Source organism: Homo sapiens, chromosome 1 (genome assembly GCF_000001405.40).
Source record: "Homo sapiens chromosome 1, GRCh38.p14 Primary Assembly".
In the NCBI taxonomy this organism is placed as follows: domain Eukaryota; kingdom Metazoa; phylum Chordata; class Mammalia; order Primates; family Hominidae; genus Homo; species Homo sapiens.
In genome coordinates, this window is record NC_000001.11 from 227486924 (window position 1) to 227506034 (window position 19111).

General features: G+C 48.5%; 1 pseudogene, besides 1 other annotated feature; it reads right to left on the reverse strand.

The window, feature by feature from the left end:
* TUBB8P10 (tubulin beta 8 class VIII pseudogene 10) lies at nucleotides 5928-7903 on the reverse strand (annotated as a pseudogene).
* Nucleotides 6852-7538: an enhancer, noted in NCBI's record as "H3K27ac-H3K4me1 hESC enhancer chr1:227681476-227682162 (GRCh37/hg19 assembly coordinates)". NCBI's record gives its function as "activates a minimal SCP1, AML or CMV promoter by ChIP-STARR-seq in primed H9 embryonic stem cells {active_cell/tissue: H9 hESC(primed)}" and the evidence as "EXISTENCE:reporter gene assay evidence [ECO:0000049][PMID:30033119]".

Consider the following 19111-nt stretch of genomic DNA (forward strand, 5'->3'; position numbering starts at 1 on the left):
AGCCCCTCCCAAATCTCATGTTCTCACATTTCAAAACCAATTTTGCTTTCCCAAAGTCTTAACTCATTTAAGCATTAACTCAAAAGTCCATACTCTAAAGTCTCATCTGAGACAAGTCCCTTCCACCTATGAGCCTGTAAAGTCAAAAGAAAGTTAGTTACTTCCTAGATACAGTGGGGGTACAGATATTGGATAAATACACCTGTTCCAAATGTGAGAAGCTGGCCAAAATGAAGGGGCTACAGGCCCCATGCAATTCCAAAATCCAGTGGGGCAGTCAATTCTTAAAGCTCTGAAATGATCTCCTTTGACTCCATGTCTCATGTCCAGGTCTTGCTGATGCAAGGCTGCCCACAGCCTGGGGCAGATCTGTCCCTGTGGCTTTGCAGGGTACAGCCTTGCCCCCTCAGCTGCTTTCACAGGCTGGCATTGTGTGTCTGGGGCTTTTTCAGGTGCACAGTGCAAGCTGTAGGTGGATCTACCATTCTGGGATCTGGAAGATAGTGGCCCTCTGCTCACAGCTCCACTAGGCAGTGCCCCAGTGGGGACTCTGTGTGGGGGCTCGAACCTCACATTTTCCTTCCACACTGCTCTAGCAGAGGTTATCCAGAAGGGCTGTACCCCTGCAGCAAATCTCTGCCTGGACATCCAGGCATTTCCATACATCCTCTGAAATCTAGGCACAGGTTCCTAAACCTCAATTCTTGACTTCTACACACCTGCAGGCCCAACACCATGTGTAAGCCACCAAGGCTTGAGGCTTGTACCTCTGAAGCAATGGCCTGAACTGTACCTTGGTCCCTTTTAGTCATGGTTGGAGTGACTGGGATGCAGGGCACCATGTCCCAAGGCTGCACACTGCAGGGGGCCTCTAGGCCTGGCCCAGGAAACCATTTTCTCCTCCCAGGCCTTTAGGCCTGTGATGGGAGGGGCTGCTGTGAAGGTCTCTGACATGCCTTGGAGACATTTTCCCCATTGTCTTGGTGATTAACATTCAGCTCCCTGTTGCTTATGCAAATTTCTGCTGTGGGCTTGAATTTCTTCCCAGAAAATGAGTTTTTTCTTTTCTACTGCATCATCAGGCTGCAAATTTTTCAAACTTTTATGCTCTGCTTCCTCTTTATTTTGAGATGGAGTTTCACTCTTGTCCCCCAGAATGGAGTACAATGGTGTGATCTCGGCTCACTGCAACCTCCGCCTCCTGGGTTTAAGTGATTCTCCTGCCTCAGCCTCCTGAGTAGCTGGGATTACAGGTGCCTGCCACCATGCCTGGCTAATTTTTATATTATTAGTAGAGACAGGGTTTCCCCTTGTTGGTGAAGCTGGTCTTGAACTCCTGACCTCAAGTAATCTGCCCACCTTGGCCTCCCAAAGTGCTAGGATTACAGGCATAAGCCACCGTGCCTGGTCCCTCTGTGTCCTCTTGAATGTTTTGCTGTTTAGAAATTTCTTCTGCAAGATACCCTAAATCATCTCTCTCATTAAAAGTTCCACAAATCTCTAGGGCAGGGGCAAAGTGCCACCAGTCTCTTTGCATAGCAAGAGTGACCTTTACTGCAGTTCCCAACAAGATCCTCATCTCCAACTCAGACCACTTCAGTCTGGACCTTATTGTTCACATCACTATCAGCAACTTGGTCAAAGCCATTCAACAAGTCTCTAGGAAGTTCCAAACCTTCCAACATCTTCCTGTTTTCTAAGCTCTCCAAACTGTTCCAACCTCTGCCTGTTACCCAACTCCAAAGTCACTTCCACATTTTGGGGTGTCTTTACAGCAGCACCCTACTCCTGGGACCAATTTACTGTATTAGTCTGTCCTCACACTGCTAATAAAGACAACCTGAGACTGGGTAATTTATAAAGGAAAGGAGGTTTAATGGACTCACAGTTCCACATGGCTGACGAGGCCCCACAATCATGGCAGAAGGTGAAAGAGGAGCAAAGTCACACCTTACATGGCAGCAGGCGTGAGAGAAGTGAGAGCCAAGTGAAGGGGGAAGCCCCTTATAAAATCATCAGCTCTTGGGACAACTCAGTCACTACCATGAGAACAGTATGGGGGAAACTGCCCCATGATTCAATTACCTCCACCTCGTCCCATCCTTGACACATGGGCTTTATCACAAATTAAGGTAAGATTTGTGTGGGGACACAGAGCCAAACCATATAACCCTATCCCCTATTCTGGAACTAGATGGAGGAACATACGCATGCAGGTTCACCTGGAGACATGAGATGGGGCAAGCAGAACAGTCTTGCCCAAATCATCCCATAAGCCTGGACCTTGAGCCCTCTCACATGCTGTCAGGCATGTATCATACCAAGAAAGGAGGCTAGGAGGGTACTGTATCTACCTGTATACAGGGAGCTATGAAATATCTGAGCTGAGAATGTGACACATGAGAGGTCAGAGGCAGTATGACCTTTACACAGTGACCTGGCTCAAAATTTCCGGCTTGCATTAACCAGGTGAGTTCCTCTTTCTCTCCGAGGTAGGTAAACTAGAGGGGTGAAGTGGGAGTTGGGGATAATTTTGGGTAGTATTTATTCTGTGTTCTAAATAAGAAAACCATAAATGCCCTCTTTCAGGGTCCAAATATTAGGTGAAAAAACCTCTTTGTCATCTCAGTCATGTACTGTGGACCCCAGCCGAGTAGTATACAAATGTTAATTTATACTTTCTGCATAGTGTGAGCTTTTTCAGTTTTATGATGTAGCTGATTAAGTCCTCTCATGTTACTAACTGGGGACCAGACTGCTGAATGTCACAACAGGTGGCTAGCATGTCTGTGAAGGGCAGAAACTGGAGGAACAAACAGCTGGCAGAGGCCAGCTAGTAAGGACGCAGTGCCCACTTCACAGAGGACTCAACACTTAAAAGACAAGATAAGCAAATGCCAGGCTGCCTCACTAGTCATGCCCCCAAATAGAAAGACAAAACTCCTCTACAGAATGTGTGTGTACACACCTAAATACACACACACAGCTACATGCGAAGGGAAAGGGCTTGGAAGAAACCAAATCCACCTCTGAACACCAGTTACTTCTGGGAAAGGGGCAGGTGAAGCCAACTGTCCCCATTACCTTTTAAACTGATGAGCCTATGGTAACTTTGCACGCTTTGGGTTATTACACAAGCCCTGCAGAACTGAACCACCAACAACCACTTGCACAGCTTTTCCTGACGCCAAATGATGACTTCCCTCAAAGTTCAGTCCCACCACCTGCCTCCCATGCAGGGGGCTACTGGCCTCCTAGGGTGCAGTCCTGGTCCCATGTAGGGGGCCACTGGCCTCCTGGGGTACAGGGTTCCAGGCTAAATCCACCCCACAGATTCCTGGTGAAACCAGCATGTGTCCAAGGGGTTTTCCCAAGCCTGGGCCATGTGCCTACCACAGAAATATGTCTGTGCTTGCTCCCCTAGGACAGGCTCCCTTTTCCTTCAGTTGGAATGAGGGGTAGGGAAGATTTCATGGTGTCTGGTAGAGGTTAGGTATGCTGAATCTGATGTGCTGTCAGAAAAGCTCCCCGGAGTCAGGTGCATTCTCAGCACGTGGTGTGTGCTGCCCCTTCAAGCTGCGAGAATCCCAGAAGGCGGGTGCTACTGCAACCCCCATTTATAGCTAAGCAGAGCTCAGGTGATCTACAGCAGGCCAAGAAGCTAAGAGGCCAACAGGCTGGATCTGCATTTCGCTTGCAGAGGCCCCTGCCTGGCTGCCTGAGGCTGCTCTTGAGACTCCTCCTGCCTCCTCCTCTTCCCTCTGCAGCTACACCAGCTTCTAACCACGGCTGTGCTCCAGGTGGGGAACATCTATGGGCACACCATGGCACAGCTGCTCAAAAACCGCAGCATGTAGTAGAGCCCCTGCTTCATGCTGTCTCCCATGTCCAAGCCCAAGTTCATCTAGGGCTTTAGCAAGACCAAGCTACACTGAATTCCCTGATAGTAGATAATCCCCTACAATCCCCTGTACATGGGTAAGCCACCAGGCCTTGGCCCTGCTCCCTCCTGGCCCCACCATTCTGCCTCAATTGCTTACATGCTACCCTGTCTGTACTGTTTTGAAACTCTACAAGGATGTTGAGATTCTGAGCTGACTCCCACTGAAGGAGGAAAACCACCAGCAGCCACTAGGTTCTGCTTTCTGGAAGCTTCATGCCCCTTCCCCTATGGCCCACCATGCTAGCCAGGCTGGAAGGGGGACTCCTGAGACTTGAGAAACCCAGACCTGCAGGTGGCATATGAAAAAAAGGCCCCTAAGAGGACCACTCCCAGCCATGAAGCCCCAGGTGGAACCAGGTGATTGGGAAATACACAGGAGCCAAGCCTGGGCCCCACTCAGACCCAGGTGGGAACTGCAGCAGTGACTTGCCCCTTCTGCCACTCTGGCTGTACCACTGCAGGAGGGAGGAACATCTGACACCACCCATGAGTGGAGACACTAGGTGTGGGCAGCTTCCAGTGGTTGCTGCAGCTGAACCTTCCCAACCGGATCCATGTAAGGCCATCTCAGGTGGGTGCAGGCCTGGGCTGCGCTGGGCAAGGACACCCCTCAGAGGGTGAGAGCCAGTGAGGAGAGCTGTCACAGAGGCCCATTTTCCTGCTCTGAGAACAGGTTGGGGCAGTAAGGGGGACTTCTCTCACTTCCTAGCTGCTTCCAGGAGCCCATCTTTTCTGAAGATGAGACACTCCCCTGCTTGCCTGTTCCAATTTGGCTTCAAGAGGCAGTTGCCAGCATTGAGGGAAATGAGCCTCACCTGCCTTCCCTGACGCATCTGAGGCAGGTGGGTAGGCCTAGGGGAAGGCCAAGGGGATCTGGGGTAGGACCTAAACATATGCCCAACCCCAGGCTATGCTGGCTTCATCCTCCCAATCCACTTGTGTGAGGGTGTGAGTTACCAAGAGGGTATCATACAGGCCATGGATGAGTTCTACAAGAGCCAGGTAGAAGAGCACTGTCCTGGGTGTGCTCCCGAGCACCCAGCTCACATCCATCTTATTTGACAGCTTCAGTGAGGCAGGCCTTGAAGTCCAGGCTCCCTGAGAGGCCTGGGAAAGAGGCTGTGGCTCAAGGGCCTGACCCCAAAGGTACGACTTCCACCTCTCTCATCCTGACAGCCTTGTATTCTCCCCCTGCTTTGAAGCAGGGGATAGGGGAGACAAGAGGCAGTGTACATTAATCACTTTTCCAGAGTGCCATCCCTCCAACCTGGGGCAGGACAGACCCCTGCATGGGCATTTTCCTCACTGGTTGCCAGATTCCCAGTTCCTGTTCAGAAACTGCACCTATGCCCTGGAGAGACTGCACTGAGCACACAGGCCCAGCAACCACATGTACAGCCCCCAGGGCCTAATTCCCTTCTATATGGGACCTAATTCCCTTCTGCATGCATGTGAGTACACAGTGGGCTTGATTCCTGCCAACTAGTATCCGACCCTGCCAGATATCCGTGTGCCAACATGATTAGGGGGAAGAGGTCACACTGACACACCCAGGCTATCATGGGGAAGGGGTAGCTGGGGCTCTATTTCACCACCCTTTATTGCTGGTTCAGGACCAGCTGTGTTACTACATTGTCTCCAAGGTCCCACCTTGGGGTAGAATTGCCCAACCCTTTTGGAAGTTGGGGGAGCGGTGGGCAGCACTGGCCACTTTTAAGTTACAGAGGTCAGCTGGTCCTGGGGAGGAGCAGCCAGGCTTTCCTTCAGGAAGCAGTTTCCCTACTAAGCAGATAACCAAGGCCCAGGGCAGCCTCAAGTTCCTGTGGAGCATGCCTGCCATGTCCATAATCCATACTGATCCCGCCAGGAACCACTGGAATGCTTGTTCCTTGGCATAGAAGCCCAAGTCAGCTGCAACCTTGCAGCACAATTACACACATCTGCCAGCAGTACCCAGAGGGCCTATAGAAAGTGCAGGTGAAAGCAGATGCTAAGAGAATGCTCCATTAGGCAAAACCGCATACTATGAAAAGGCTTTAAAACACAACAGGAGGAGATGTGAAGACACAAACAAGTGCCTAGTGACACATGGCTATCAGAACACACTATAAGAACCCACACCGCTTCCCCACTTTACCCAGAAAAGGCAGGCTCTAGGCCACCTCCTCCTCCTCGGCTGTGGCGTCCTGGTACTGCTGATACTCAGACAGCAGGTTGTTCATGTTGCTCTTGGCCTCGGTGAACTCCATCACGTCCATGCCCTCGCCCGTGTACCAGTGCAGGAAGGCCTGGAACACACTTGAACAGCTCCCGGATGGCCGTGTTGTTGCCAATGCAGGTGGCCATTTTTAGCCCCTTGGGTGGGATGGCACAGATAGCCATTTTCACATTGTGAGGGAGCCAATCAGCAGAGTACCTGCTGTTCTTATTTTGAATATTGAACATTTGCTCATCCACCTCCCTCATGGGCATGCAACCTCTGAAAACGGCAGCCACTGTCAGGTAGTGGCCATGACGGGGCTCACAGGCAACCATCATTCTTAGCATCAAACATCTGCTGGGTGAACTCAGCCATGGTCAGGGCCGAGTACTACTGGCTGGCTGCCCCGGCTGGACAGTGGAGCAAAGCGAAGCATGAAGAAGTGTAGCCAGGCAACTAGGATCACGTTCGTGGCCAGCCTTTGCAGATCAGTATTCAGCTGGCCTGGGAAGAACAGGCACGTGGTGACCCCACTTGTGGTAGCAGAAACCAGGTGATTCAGGTCACCGTAGGTGGGTGTGGGCAGTTTTAGGGTTCTGGAACAGATGTCACACAGAACTACAGAGCTTCACTATCAATGCAAAAGGTCTCATCTGCATTTTCCATGAGCTGGTGGACTGAGAGGGTGGCATTGTAGGGCTCCACCATGGTGTCTGACACCTTGGGCAAAGGCAGAACACTGAATGTGTTTATGATCCTGTCTGGGTACTCCTCCCAGATCTTACTGATGAGAAGAGTATCCATCAGAGACCCGGTACCCCCACCCAGGGAGTGGGTAAGCTGGAAACCCTGCAGGCAGTCACAGCTCTCAGATTCTTTTTCACAACATCCATCAGCGTCTCCTTCAGCTCTGCACCTTCTGTGTAGTGCCCCTTGGCCCAGTTGTTCCCGGCCCCACACTGACCTGTAAGACAACACAGCAAGTCGCTGGATGGCCAGATATACAGTCATCAGGGGTCACCACAATGCAAAAAAGGGCCAAGTGTCACGTGTGAGGTGAAAGCACCATTCACCCTGCAGGTGGAGCAGGTGGACCTCCCTCCCCCAAAGCTGAAGGACAGCAGCCTCCCCTGTTAGAAGTTAAGTCAGGAGCCGAACCTGAGACAGCCTAACACAACAGACCTGGCTGCAGGTGGCTCCTGCCCATCCCCAAGAAAAGCAGCAGCCACTGCCCCCAGCCCAGCTCCCTGCAGAAAGATTGCATCAGCAGCTCCTCTCAGGCAGACAGCTGGGCCTTCCTCCCAAAGCCCGTTTAGGAGAAGGAGATTGCGTGACTCAGGATGGGAGGGTGTTCAGGGGCCCTAGCTCCACAGTTCCCACAGCGATGACTTTGGGGCACTCCTTGAATTTGAGCGGCCCTGGCTAAGGAGCCTCACCCCAGTCCTCACCCGCAGCTCACCGAAGATGAAGTCGTCCGGCCTGAAGATCCTCCCGAATGGCGCTGAGCACACAGAGCCGATGGTGCCCGGCTCCACATCCACAAGCACAGGGCGGGGCACGTACCTGCCACCTGACGGGGGCGGGAGGACATCAGCGAGGAGAGGGCCGCCATTCCCAGGAGGGCGGCTGGGGAAGGACAGGGGTCTCACCGCTGGCCTCGTTGTAGTACATGTTGATGCGCTCCAGCTGCAGGTCCCTGTCCCCGTGGCAGGTGCCAGCAGAGTCGATGGCATGTTCATCAGAGATCACCTCCCAGAACTGCGAGAGACACGAGGGGCCAAACAGGCCAGGGCTGAGTCACGGAGGCCAGGGAGCCCGAGGCTCCCCAGCCCCTCTCCTATCCCCACCCCCAGGCCGCTGGATCCCTGGGGGTCCGCCCTGGCTGCCTAGCCAGCCACCCAGCTCCACCGCGTCCCAGGCGCGGAGACGGGGGGCCGCAATACAGCCCCAGCCGCTGCCAACATCTTCTCGGGCCACCCGGCAGGCCCGCGCTGGGCCCTCAGAGCCCCGGCCACCAACCTTGGCACCGATCTGGTTCCCGCACTGCCCGGTCTGCCATAGCACGATCTCCCTCATGGCCACTGCTGGACTAGGGCGGCAGGAGAAACGCGAGGAGGAGCAGGAGCGCAGCGACAGGGCCAGTGCTCCGCCAACGCTAAAATAACCCCGCGCCCACCTCCCCCAGCCTCAGATTGGGCTCCCAGAATAAGCAACAGCTTTACTTCCACACAGGTGTACCCACCTGTGAATCCCTTGGCGTTCAAGGTCTGTTGGAGAGCTCAGGTGGCCTTGCTGTGGTCCTTTCCACGTTGGGGAAAGCTGGTCAGCTGGAGAACTTCCTCCCATGTCTTTAGTAAGACTAAATCCCTAGCTGAGCTGAAATGGAATTTTCCTCCCGTGTGGAGGGGAAGCCTTTTGTTTCCGTGTTCACAGAGTGCCTTTGCACCTGTCCCACATTGATGACATATTTTTGTAATTGATGAGTCCTTTTCTATTAGGAGATCTGTGGTTAGGAGAGGCCTCCCCTATGTTAACTCGACAGGAAGTAATTGTAAGTTTTCCTTTGGAGCAGCTCAAACCCGGAGTAAGCTATGGGTGTTAGAGATAGTCAGGCCTCTGACTTAGCTAGGGTCTTCTTTAGAGTATGATTAACCCTTTCACCTTTCCAGAGGACTGCGGTCTCCATGCAGAGTGAAGGTGATATTGGATTCCTAAAGCTGAGGATAGCTGTTGGGAGACGCCTGCTGTGAAAGATGGGCCATTGTCACTTTGCAGGCCTTTGGATGACCCAAAAGGAGGAATTATTTCTTCTGGTAAACACTTGTCAGATAGGGTGGGGAATGCCTGGATCTAACCAGTGAATGTAACAGTAAGCATTAGCAAATACCTGAATCTCCTACAGAAAGGCATCTGAGTAAATTAGAGTTGCCAGTCCTCACCTGGATAGGTTCCTCAATGTTGGACAGGTTTAACTGGAGGAGGTGAAAATTGCTGGGTCTTTGGGTTATGTCAGACACAGCGCTCACAGGGCTGAGTCACCTGTTTTAGCGTCTTGAAAAGATTTATCCCCATAAACAAATGAGACATTAACTGAAGCAAAGAATCCCTTCTAGGGTGGAAAGAATCATGAAAGTGCTTAATTATTTTCCTACAATTGGTGCTCGGCATTAGTAACTTATTACCATCAGTCAGCCAGCCAGAGGGATCCTGGACTGAACTGCAATCCCTGGCCCATTTTTGTTCTCTTCAGAGTGTTCTGGCCCAGCTCTGTGTACGCTGAGCAGTATGCCCAGAAGCTTCACTGGCCCTTTCAGTGCAGTGGCCTTGGCTGACACATCTGTGAGGGCATTTCCTTTTACACGGTCAGTCTCTCTTTTGATGTCCTCTGCAATGAATTACAGCCACTTTTTTTTTTAATGGCGGCAAAGCAGCATTCTAACAAGCTCAAAATCTGAGTAATGTATGGAAAAGCCCTTCGTGGTCAGGAGTCCCTACCCATTCCAAATTGCAGCATAAGCATGAAGCACTAAGAAATCATACTTGGAATCAGTGTAAATGTTAACTTTTAAGTCCTTTCCCAACTGCAGGGCTCTGGTAAGTTTAATTGACTCAGCTTTTTGAGCTGAGGTAGAGGCCAGCAAGGCTTGTGCCTTGATTATCTTGTGCCGACTAATAATAGCATACCTACCCTTCCTGTTTTCCTGATGCATAAGACAACCTGCATCTCTTAACCACTCTTCCTTGGGATGGTCAAGGGGCTCATCTCTCTTAAGTCTGGCCTGCTAGAATAACTTTGTTTCATAACCCGTGATGCGGTTTGGCTGTTAAATCTTATCTTGAATTGTAGCTCCCATAATTCCCGTGTGTCGTGGGAGGGACCCAGTGGGAGGTAATTGAATCACGGGGCGGGTCTTTCCCATGCTGTTCTTGTGACGGTGAATAAGCCCATGAGATCTGATGGTTTTATTTTTATTTTTATTTTTTATTTTTTGAGACATAATCTTGCTCTGTTGCCCAGGCTGCACTGCAGTGGCGTGATCTCGGCTCACTGCAACCTCTGTCTCCTGGGTTCAAGCGATCCTCCTGTCTCAGCCTCCCGAGTAGCTGGGATTAGAGGCGCCCACCACCAAGCCTGGCTAATTTTTGTATTTTTAGTAGAGACGGGGTTTCACCATGTTGGCCAGGCTGGTCTCCAACTCCTGACCTCAGGCGATCCACCCGCCTCGGCCTCCCAATGTGCTGGGATTACAGCTGATGGTTTTATAAATGGGAGTTTCCCTACACAAGCTCTTTTTGCCTGCTGCCATGTAAGAGAAGTGATTTTGCTCCTCATTTGCCTTCTGCCATGATTGTGAGGCCTCCCTAGCCATGTGGAACTGTCAGTCAATTGAACCCCTTTCCTTTATAAATTACCCAGCCTCAGGCATGTCTTTGTTAGCAGCAGGAGAACAGACTAATACAACCTGTATGCCAGAAAGGTTGGGAGCACTTGTGGACCCTGGCAGATAAGTAACTGGGTTTATGGTTTGGCAGACTTTAAGGGTTATGTCTGGAGTGTCTAGCAATAAGGCCTGATACTTTAATAAATGTTCTCCTATTATCCACTGGTGCCCTTTAGCTTCTAGGACCACCTTCCCTTGATGTGGGGTCAAAAACCTTTAGGTGCTGTCCTCATGCTAGTTCATTAGCTTTGCCTACTAGAAAAGTTGCAGCAGCAACAGCTCTAAGACATCCAGGCCACCCTGAGGCCACCTGACCTATCTGCTTAGAAAAGTATGTTACAGCCCTTGGAACGTTCCCCAGTTTTGGGACAAGATTACCCAGGGCCTATGCCTTGCTTTTTGGCCACATAAAGATAAAATGATTCATCCAACTTGGGGACTCCCACAGCTGCAGCAGAGCCCAATTTCTCTTTGAGAGTATTGAAGATTTGCTTGCAGTTCTCATTACATTCAAGGAGCTCTAAATCTTTCCCTTTTAGTGCATCCCGTAAATGCTTGGCTACACGTCCAAATCTGGGCACCCGTAAGCAGCAGTACCCAGCCATCCCCTAAAAAGGCCCACAGTCATTTGTTGGACTGCGACTCTTGAATGACTAAAAGAGCTTTTTTACTTCTAGGGATGTTGATCAGTTCCAGAGGTGAATACAGATTCCAAATATTGGAGCCGTTGAGTCAAAATCTGAGCTCTGTATGGTGATACCCTATATCTGCTAGTTCCCAGGAAATTTATCAGTTTAACAGTATTATTATCCGAGTCTTCTTTAGTTGGGCTAGCAATGAGTAAGTCACCTAGATACTGAATAATGGTGCCTGTTTGCAACTGTAAATTTCTTAAGTCCTTAGCTAGGGCATTTTCAAATAAGTGGGGGCTATCCTAGAACCCTTCAGAGAGGACCATCCAGGTTAGTTTTGAGGTTGAATGAGTATCTGGATCAGTCCATTCAAAGGCAAACATATTGTGAATCTGGATACATTGAGATGCAGAAAAATGCATCTTTCAGAACTAAGAATGTAAACCAGCTTGGATCCCCTGGGACTTGGGTAAGGATTGGGGACAATGGGGTGTATGGAGACAACAGCTGCATTTATTAATGCTCTAAGGTTTCTGACAAATCTGTACTTGCCAGATTAGGCTTTTGATCTGGTAACATGGGAGTATTGTAAGGAGACTCTCATGGCCTTAACAAGTCATACGGCAAGAATTTGGCAATAAGGGGTTGAATTTCCCCTCATGCTTCTTGCCTTAAAGTGTATTGTCTCTTCCAAGGGCGAGGAGCACTAGGCCAAAGTTGGATTTGAATGGGGGAAGTGTTTAGTGTGTTTCCCAGAGCCTGTGTGGCCCAAACCTCAGGATTTACTTGTGAGAACACCTCAGGTGGTAAATGTGACAGCTCATCCTTAACTTCTTTTTTTCCCCGAGGGGTCAGGAATAAAAGTCACACTTTCTCTGCTTTATGATCTGTGAAGGTCACCATGGCTTGGTCACTGGAGTCAATAAAGCTCTCCCCAGTGAGAGGTCAGGCATTCAGACAATACTAGAAAGGCAGGTGAGAAGCCCAGAGGCCCTGGAGAACAACTTAGAAGATAAGAAAAGCAGTGTTTTCCGACTTGTCCATCATGGAAGACGGGAGCCCATCGTATAATTTAAGGCCATACAAGACATCTTCCATCCAGCCTTAAAAATGTATAAATGTCCTAGGAGTGCAGCATTTTTTCTTAAAGATAAATTTAATGAGCTAGCTTAGGTCAAAGGGTTAATGGTCATTGTTAAAACCAATAACCCCTGCCTTTAGTGAGTACATCTGCACCTTCCAAGTTTAATTGTAACTCTTTCTCTTTACAGTTACTTATAAGTAGAGACACTAACAAAAGACATTGCATTCCTGCTTTTGTTTTCTGAGGATGCCCAACTCTGTAATGGAGTCATTTCTAATAAACTTGCTTCTTGCACTGTGGTCTCTGACTCACCTCAGATGTTTTCCTGCACAAGATCTAAGAATCCTCCTTTGTGGTCTGTATCAGGACCCTCTTTTCCAGCAACATCTTTCAGTAACACCATGAAGGGACACCAAGACAAGATCCCCACTCCAAGGAAAACAATCCACACAGAATCAATCTGCTGACACTGATTGATTGGGCAAGTGGGCCATCTTTTAGAGTTGTGAAGCCATTCTGGTGGACAAGAATGATTATCCACTATTACTTAAGCGAGAGGCCCCAGGGTATAATGTTAGGGTGAGAGACTCAGCCCAAAAAGTTAGAGGCCCGGGGGTATCATACTCAGATTAGAGGCCAAGCTCACAGGGTTAGAGGCCCTGGGGTATATTGAGAAGAATGAATTTGACTAAACAAGATGTTTGCCACTTTGTCTTTTTGGGCTGTCCACCTTGTGCTCTCTGTCCCTCACCTGAGTGCTCTGCATCTTGTCGCCTGTCTGCTCACCACCTCTGTTTTGTAGCAGCCCGGAGGCTGCCACAGGAAGGAGGCCCAAGCAGTTAAGCTTTTGCCTTCCTCAACGATCCTGACTTTCAGTTGATGGCTTGTTTAATTTGCCACTGGTCCCAGGGTCACTGGAAAAAACAGATGTCTTGGAACCTAGTATTTTTGCACCTTAATTATCAGAAAAGATCAGCAATAACCTCTCCATCATATGATTAGAAGTTGAAATGTGGTATTTAACAGCCCTGCATGACAAGATCAGCTATACCTGTTTAGCGACAGCCTCTTTTCCAACAACCCCCTGGAAACAATTAGCCTCAAGATGAAGAACATGAGACTTTTCCTTAACAGTTTCCTGTCATTTCTTAACCAGAAGGTCATCTTTGATGGGCTGCTATAGGACAGTTGGACCCTACTTTCTAAAGCCAGCATGTCACTTTTTCCCTGAAAGAGTTTTGTCAGTTTTGTCATAGCTGTGAGAAAATGGGCTAATACATTACAATACACAAGTTACAGCCTTCCCATTTCCCCTGTTTGGTCTGACTCCTCTTTTTGCAGCTTAATTTGTCTTATAGAAGAGAAACTAAATGGGAGGAAATACACTATGTACAGGCTTCTCTGATGCTTAGTCAGGATAAAAAATTAAAATGGGCTTGTATTTGTTTGATGGAGGAAAAGACAAAAGAGGAACTGGACATAATTGATTACCCTTTAATGCAAGTGCCTCTTAATATTAGGCTTTTCTTAGCTGGGGCTGAACTCTCCCCTGCAAGTCCAAGCACCCCGTAAGAACACAGACTCCTTCCAGTTCCGGTGAGATGTGCAACATGTTAAGTCCTTCTGGTTTTCCAGGGTAATCTAGTGTCCGGTCATCATCTCCTCCCTGACCTTCGAGTCCTGTCTTACATACATACCCACTCTCAAAGACCCGAGCCTCACCAGAACAACTTGCAGTGGAGCCTCTTATCAGCTGGCAAAGTTGAATCTTTGCCTGCTCTGGGAAGTGGCAGATGATGATGGGGACACCATATAGGTATATGTACCTTTTTCTGTGTCTGAATTAGCCATATGCAAGGAAAAACTTAAACAGTTTTCAGAGGATCCAGAAAAATTCATAGACAAGTTGAAGAGGCTAACCTTGATGTATGATTTGACCAGGCAAAATTTGCATATATTTATGTCTACCTGCTGCATGGTAGAAAAGCAGTGTATTATGGGATTGGCAAGAGCACATGCTAATAGAGTGGCAGCCTGCATCCAGGGACATGACACCTATCAAGTAGGAGGCACAGCAGTGCCTGACCAGGACCCAAAAGAGAATTAGGACCTAGAAAAGAGGAATGAATTAGGAAGAGAGTAGGATATATAGAGAAAAAAATTATGATCACTTGACTCCTTGAAGGAATAAAAAAAGTGTGATGTGTGATGAAGCTTTTTAATTTTTATAAAGTCAGGAAAATTACTCAGAGAAAAGATGAAAACCTAGCCTTATTACAAGGGTGAATAATTTAGACTTTGAGGAAATACACTAACACTGCCCCTGACTCCAAGAAGGGACAGGCATTGCTAGGAGTTCATTTTATAATCCAGTCTGCTTCCGATATCTGCAGGAAGCTGCAAAAAGCAGCATTAGGCCTCCAGACTCCCAAGAATCCGCTTTTAGACTTGGCTTTTGCAGTCTTTAATCACAGGAATAGGGCAGAGAAAACATAAAATAAAACAAACCTCCCCAAAGGACCAGCTTCTAGCTGTAGCCTTGTGCTCTCCACCACTTCAGAGCCAGCCCCTTAACCCCTGGTCCTCACAGAGGAAGTGAGAAGGTTAAAGTCCCAGTCTGGGCCTCTGGGCCACTGTGCCTTGGGTATAAATCAATGTGCCCTCTGTAAGAAGGTCAGCCACTACCAAAGGGAATGCACTGTGCTTCTAAGAGAGCCATCATCAGAGCCCAGCAGACCCAAAAGTGGTAGGGCCTGATACTTCCTGCCTCCGCTCCCACTGGACTATTAGCCATTGAGAGGTGGAGGAAACTCAGGTTACTCTTGAAGTGGCAGGTAGGAGTATTAACTTCTTATTAGATATGGGGGCAGATGACTCTGTCCTGATTCAATACGATGGGCTCCCGTCTTCTCATGATGGACAAGTCGGAAAACACTGCTTTTCTTATCTTCTAAGTTGTTCTCCAGGGCCTCTGGGCTTCTCACCTGCCTTTCTAGTATTGTCTGAATGCCTGACCTCTCACTGGGGAGAGCTTTATTGACTCCAGTGACCAAGCCATGGTGACCTTCACAGATCATAAAGCAGAGAAAGTGTGACTTTTATTCCTGACCCCTCGGGGAAAAAAAGAAGTTAAGGATGAGCTGTCACATTTACCACCTGAGGTGTTCTCACAAGTAAATCCTGAGGTTTGGGCCACACAGGCTCTGGGAAACACACTAAACACTTCCCCCATTCAAATCCAACTTTGGCCTAGTGCTCCTCGCCCTTGGAAGAGACAATACACTTTAAGGCAAGAAGCATGAGGGGAAATTCAACCCCTTATTGCCAAATTCTTGCCGTATGACTTGTTAAGGCCATGAGAGTCTCCTTACAATACTCCCATGTTACCAGATCAAAAGCCTAATCTGGCAAGTACAGATTTGTCAGAAACCTTAGAGCATTAATAAATGCAGCTGTTGTCTCCATACACCCCATTGTCCCCAATCCTTACCCAAGTCCCAGGGGATCCAAGCTGGTTTACATTCTTAGTTCTGAAAGATGCATTTTTCTGCATCTCAATGTATCCAGATTCGCAATATGTTTGCCTTTGAATGGACTGATCCAGATACTCATTCAACCTCAAAACTAACCTGGATGGTCCTCTCTGAAGGGTTCTAGGATAGCCCCCACTTATTTGAAAATGCCCTAGCTAAGGACTTAAGAAATTTACAGTTGCAAACAGGCACCATTATTCAGTATCTAGGTGACTTACTCATTGCTAGCCCAACTAAAGAAGACTCGGATAATAATACTGTTAAACTGATAAATTTCCTGGGAACTAGCAGATATAGGGTATCACCATACAGAGCTCAGATTTTGACTCAACGGCTCCAATATTTGGAATCTGTATTCACCTCTGGAACTGATCAACATCCCTAGAAGTAAAAAAGCTCTTTTAGTCATTCAAGAGTCGCAGTCCAACAAATGACTGTGGGCCTTTTTAGGGGATGGCTGGGTACTGCTGCTTACGGGTGCCCAGATTTGGACGTGTAGCCAAGCATTTACGGGATGCACTAAAAGGGAAAGATTTAGAGCTCCTTGAATGTAATGAGAACTGCAAGCAAATCTTCAATACTCTCAAAGAGAAATTGGGCTCTGCTGCAGCTGTGGGAGTCCCCAAGTTGGATGAATCATTTTATCTTTATGTGGCCAAAAAGCAAGGCATAGGCCCTGGGTAATCTTGTCCCAAAACTGGGGAACGTTCCAAGGGCTGTAACATACTTTTCTAAGCAGATAGGTCAGGTGGCCTCAGGGTGGCCTGGATGTCTTAGAGCTGTTGCTGCTGCAACTTTTCTAGTAGGCAAAGCTAATGAACTAGCATGAGGACAGCACCTAAAGGTTTTTGACCCCACATCAAGGGAAGGTGGTCCTAGAAGCTAAAGGGCACCAGTGGATAATAGGAGAACATTTATTAAAGTATCAGGCCTTATTGCTAGACACTCCAGACATAACCCTTAAAGTCTGCCAAACCATAAACCCAGTTACTTATCTGCCAGGGTCCACAAGTGCTCCCAACCTTTCTGGCATACAGGTTGTATTAGTCTGTTCTCCTGCTGCTAACAAAGACATGCCTGAGGCTGGGTAACTTATAAAGGAAAGGGGTTCAATTGACTGACAGTTCCACATGGCTAGGGAGGCCTCACAATCATGGCAGAAGGCAAATGAGGAGCAAAATCACTTCTCTTACATGGCAGCAGGCAAAAAGAGCTTGTGTAGGGAAACTCCCATTTATAAAAACATCAGCTGTAATCCCAGCACATTGGGAGGCCGAGGCGGGTGGATCGCCTGAGGTCAGGAGTTGGAGACCAGCCTGGCCAACATGGTGAAACCCCGTCTCTACTAAAAATACAAAAATTAGCCAGGCTTGGTGGTGGGCGCCTCTAATCCCAGCTACTCGGGAGGCTGAGACAGGAGGATCGCTTGAACCCAGGAGACAGAGGTTGCAGTGAGCCGAGATCACGCCACTGCAGTGCAGCCTGGGCAACAGAGCAAGATTATGTCTCAAAAAATAAAAAATAAAAATAAAAATAAAACCATCAGATCTCATGGGCTTATTCACCGTCACAAGAACAGCATGGGAAAGACCCGCCCCCTGATTCAATTACCTCCCACTGGGTCCCTCCCACGACACACGGGAATTATGGGAGCTACAATTCAAGATAAGATTTAACAGCCAAACCGCATCACGGGTTATGAAACAAAGTTATTCTAGCAGGCCAGACTTAAGAGAGATGAGCCCCTTGACCATCCCAAGGAAGAGTGGTTAAGAGATGCAGGTTGTCTTATGCATCAGGAAAACAGGAAGGGTAGGTATGCTATTATTAGTCGGCACAAGATAATCAAGGCACAAGCCTTGCTGGCCTCTACCTCAGCTCCAAAAGCTGAGTCAATTAAACTTACCAGAGCCCTGCAGTTGGGAAAGGACTTAAAAGTTAACATTTACACTGATTCCAAGTATGATTTCTTAGTGCTTCATGCTTATGCTGCAATTTGGAATGGGTAGGGACTCCTGACCACGAAGGGCTTTTCCATACATTACTCAGATTTTGAGCTTGTTAGAATGCTGCTTTGCCGCCATTAAAAAAAAAAGTGGCTGTAATTCATTGCAGAGGACATCAAAAGAGAGACTGACCGTGTAAAAGGAAATGCCCTCACAGATGTGTCAGCCAAGGCCACTGCACTGAAAGGGCCAGTGAAGCTTCTGGGCATACTGCTCAGCGTACACAGAGCTGGGCCAGAACACTCTGAAGAGAACAAAAATGGGCCAGGGATTGCAGTTCAGTCCAGGATCCCTCTGGCTGGCTGGCTGATGGTAATAAGTTACTAATGCCGAGCACCCATTGTAGGAAAATAATTAAGCACTTTCATGATTCTTTCCACCCTAGAAGGGATTCTTTGCTTCAGTTAATGTCTCATTTGTTTATGGGGATAAATCTTTTCAAGACGCTAAAACAGGTGACTCAGCCCTGTGAGCGCTGTGTCTGACATAACCCAAAGACCCAGCAATTTTCACCTCCTCCAGTTAAACCTGTCCAACATTGAGGAACCTATCCAGGTGAGGACTGGCAACTCTAATTTACTCAGATGCCTTTCTGTAGGAGATTCAGGTATTTGCTAATGCTTACTGTTACATTCACTGGTTAGATCCAGGCATTCCCCACCCTATCTGACAAGTGTTTACCAGAAGAAATAATTCCTCCTTTTGGGTCATCCAAAGGCCTGCAAAGTGACAATGGCCCATCTTTCACAGCAGGCGTCTCCCAACAGCTATCCTCAGCTTTAGGAATCCAATATCACCTTCACTCTGCATGGAGACCGCAGTCCTCTGGAAAGGTGAAAGGGTTAATCATACTCTAAAGAAGACCCTAGCTAAGTCAGAGGCCTGACTATCTCTAACACCCATAGCTTACTCCGGGTTTGAGCTGCTCCAAAGGAAAACTTACAATTACTTCCTGTCGAGTTAACATAGGGGAGGCCTCTCCTAACCACAGATCTCCTAATAGAAAGGGACTCATCAATTACAAAAATATGTCATCAATGTGGGACAGGTGCAAAGGCACTCTGTGAACACGGAAACAAAAGGCTTCCCCTCCACACGGGAGGAAAATTCCATTTCAGCTCAGCTAGGGATTTAGTCTTACTAAAGACATGGGAGGAAGTTCTCCAGCTGACCAGCTTTCCCCAACGTGGAAAGGACCACAGCAAGGCCACCTGAGCTCTCCAACAGACCTTGAACGCCAAGGGATTCACAGGTGGGTACACCTGTGTGGA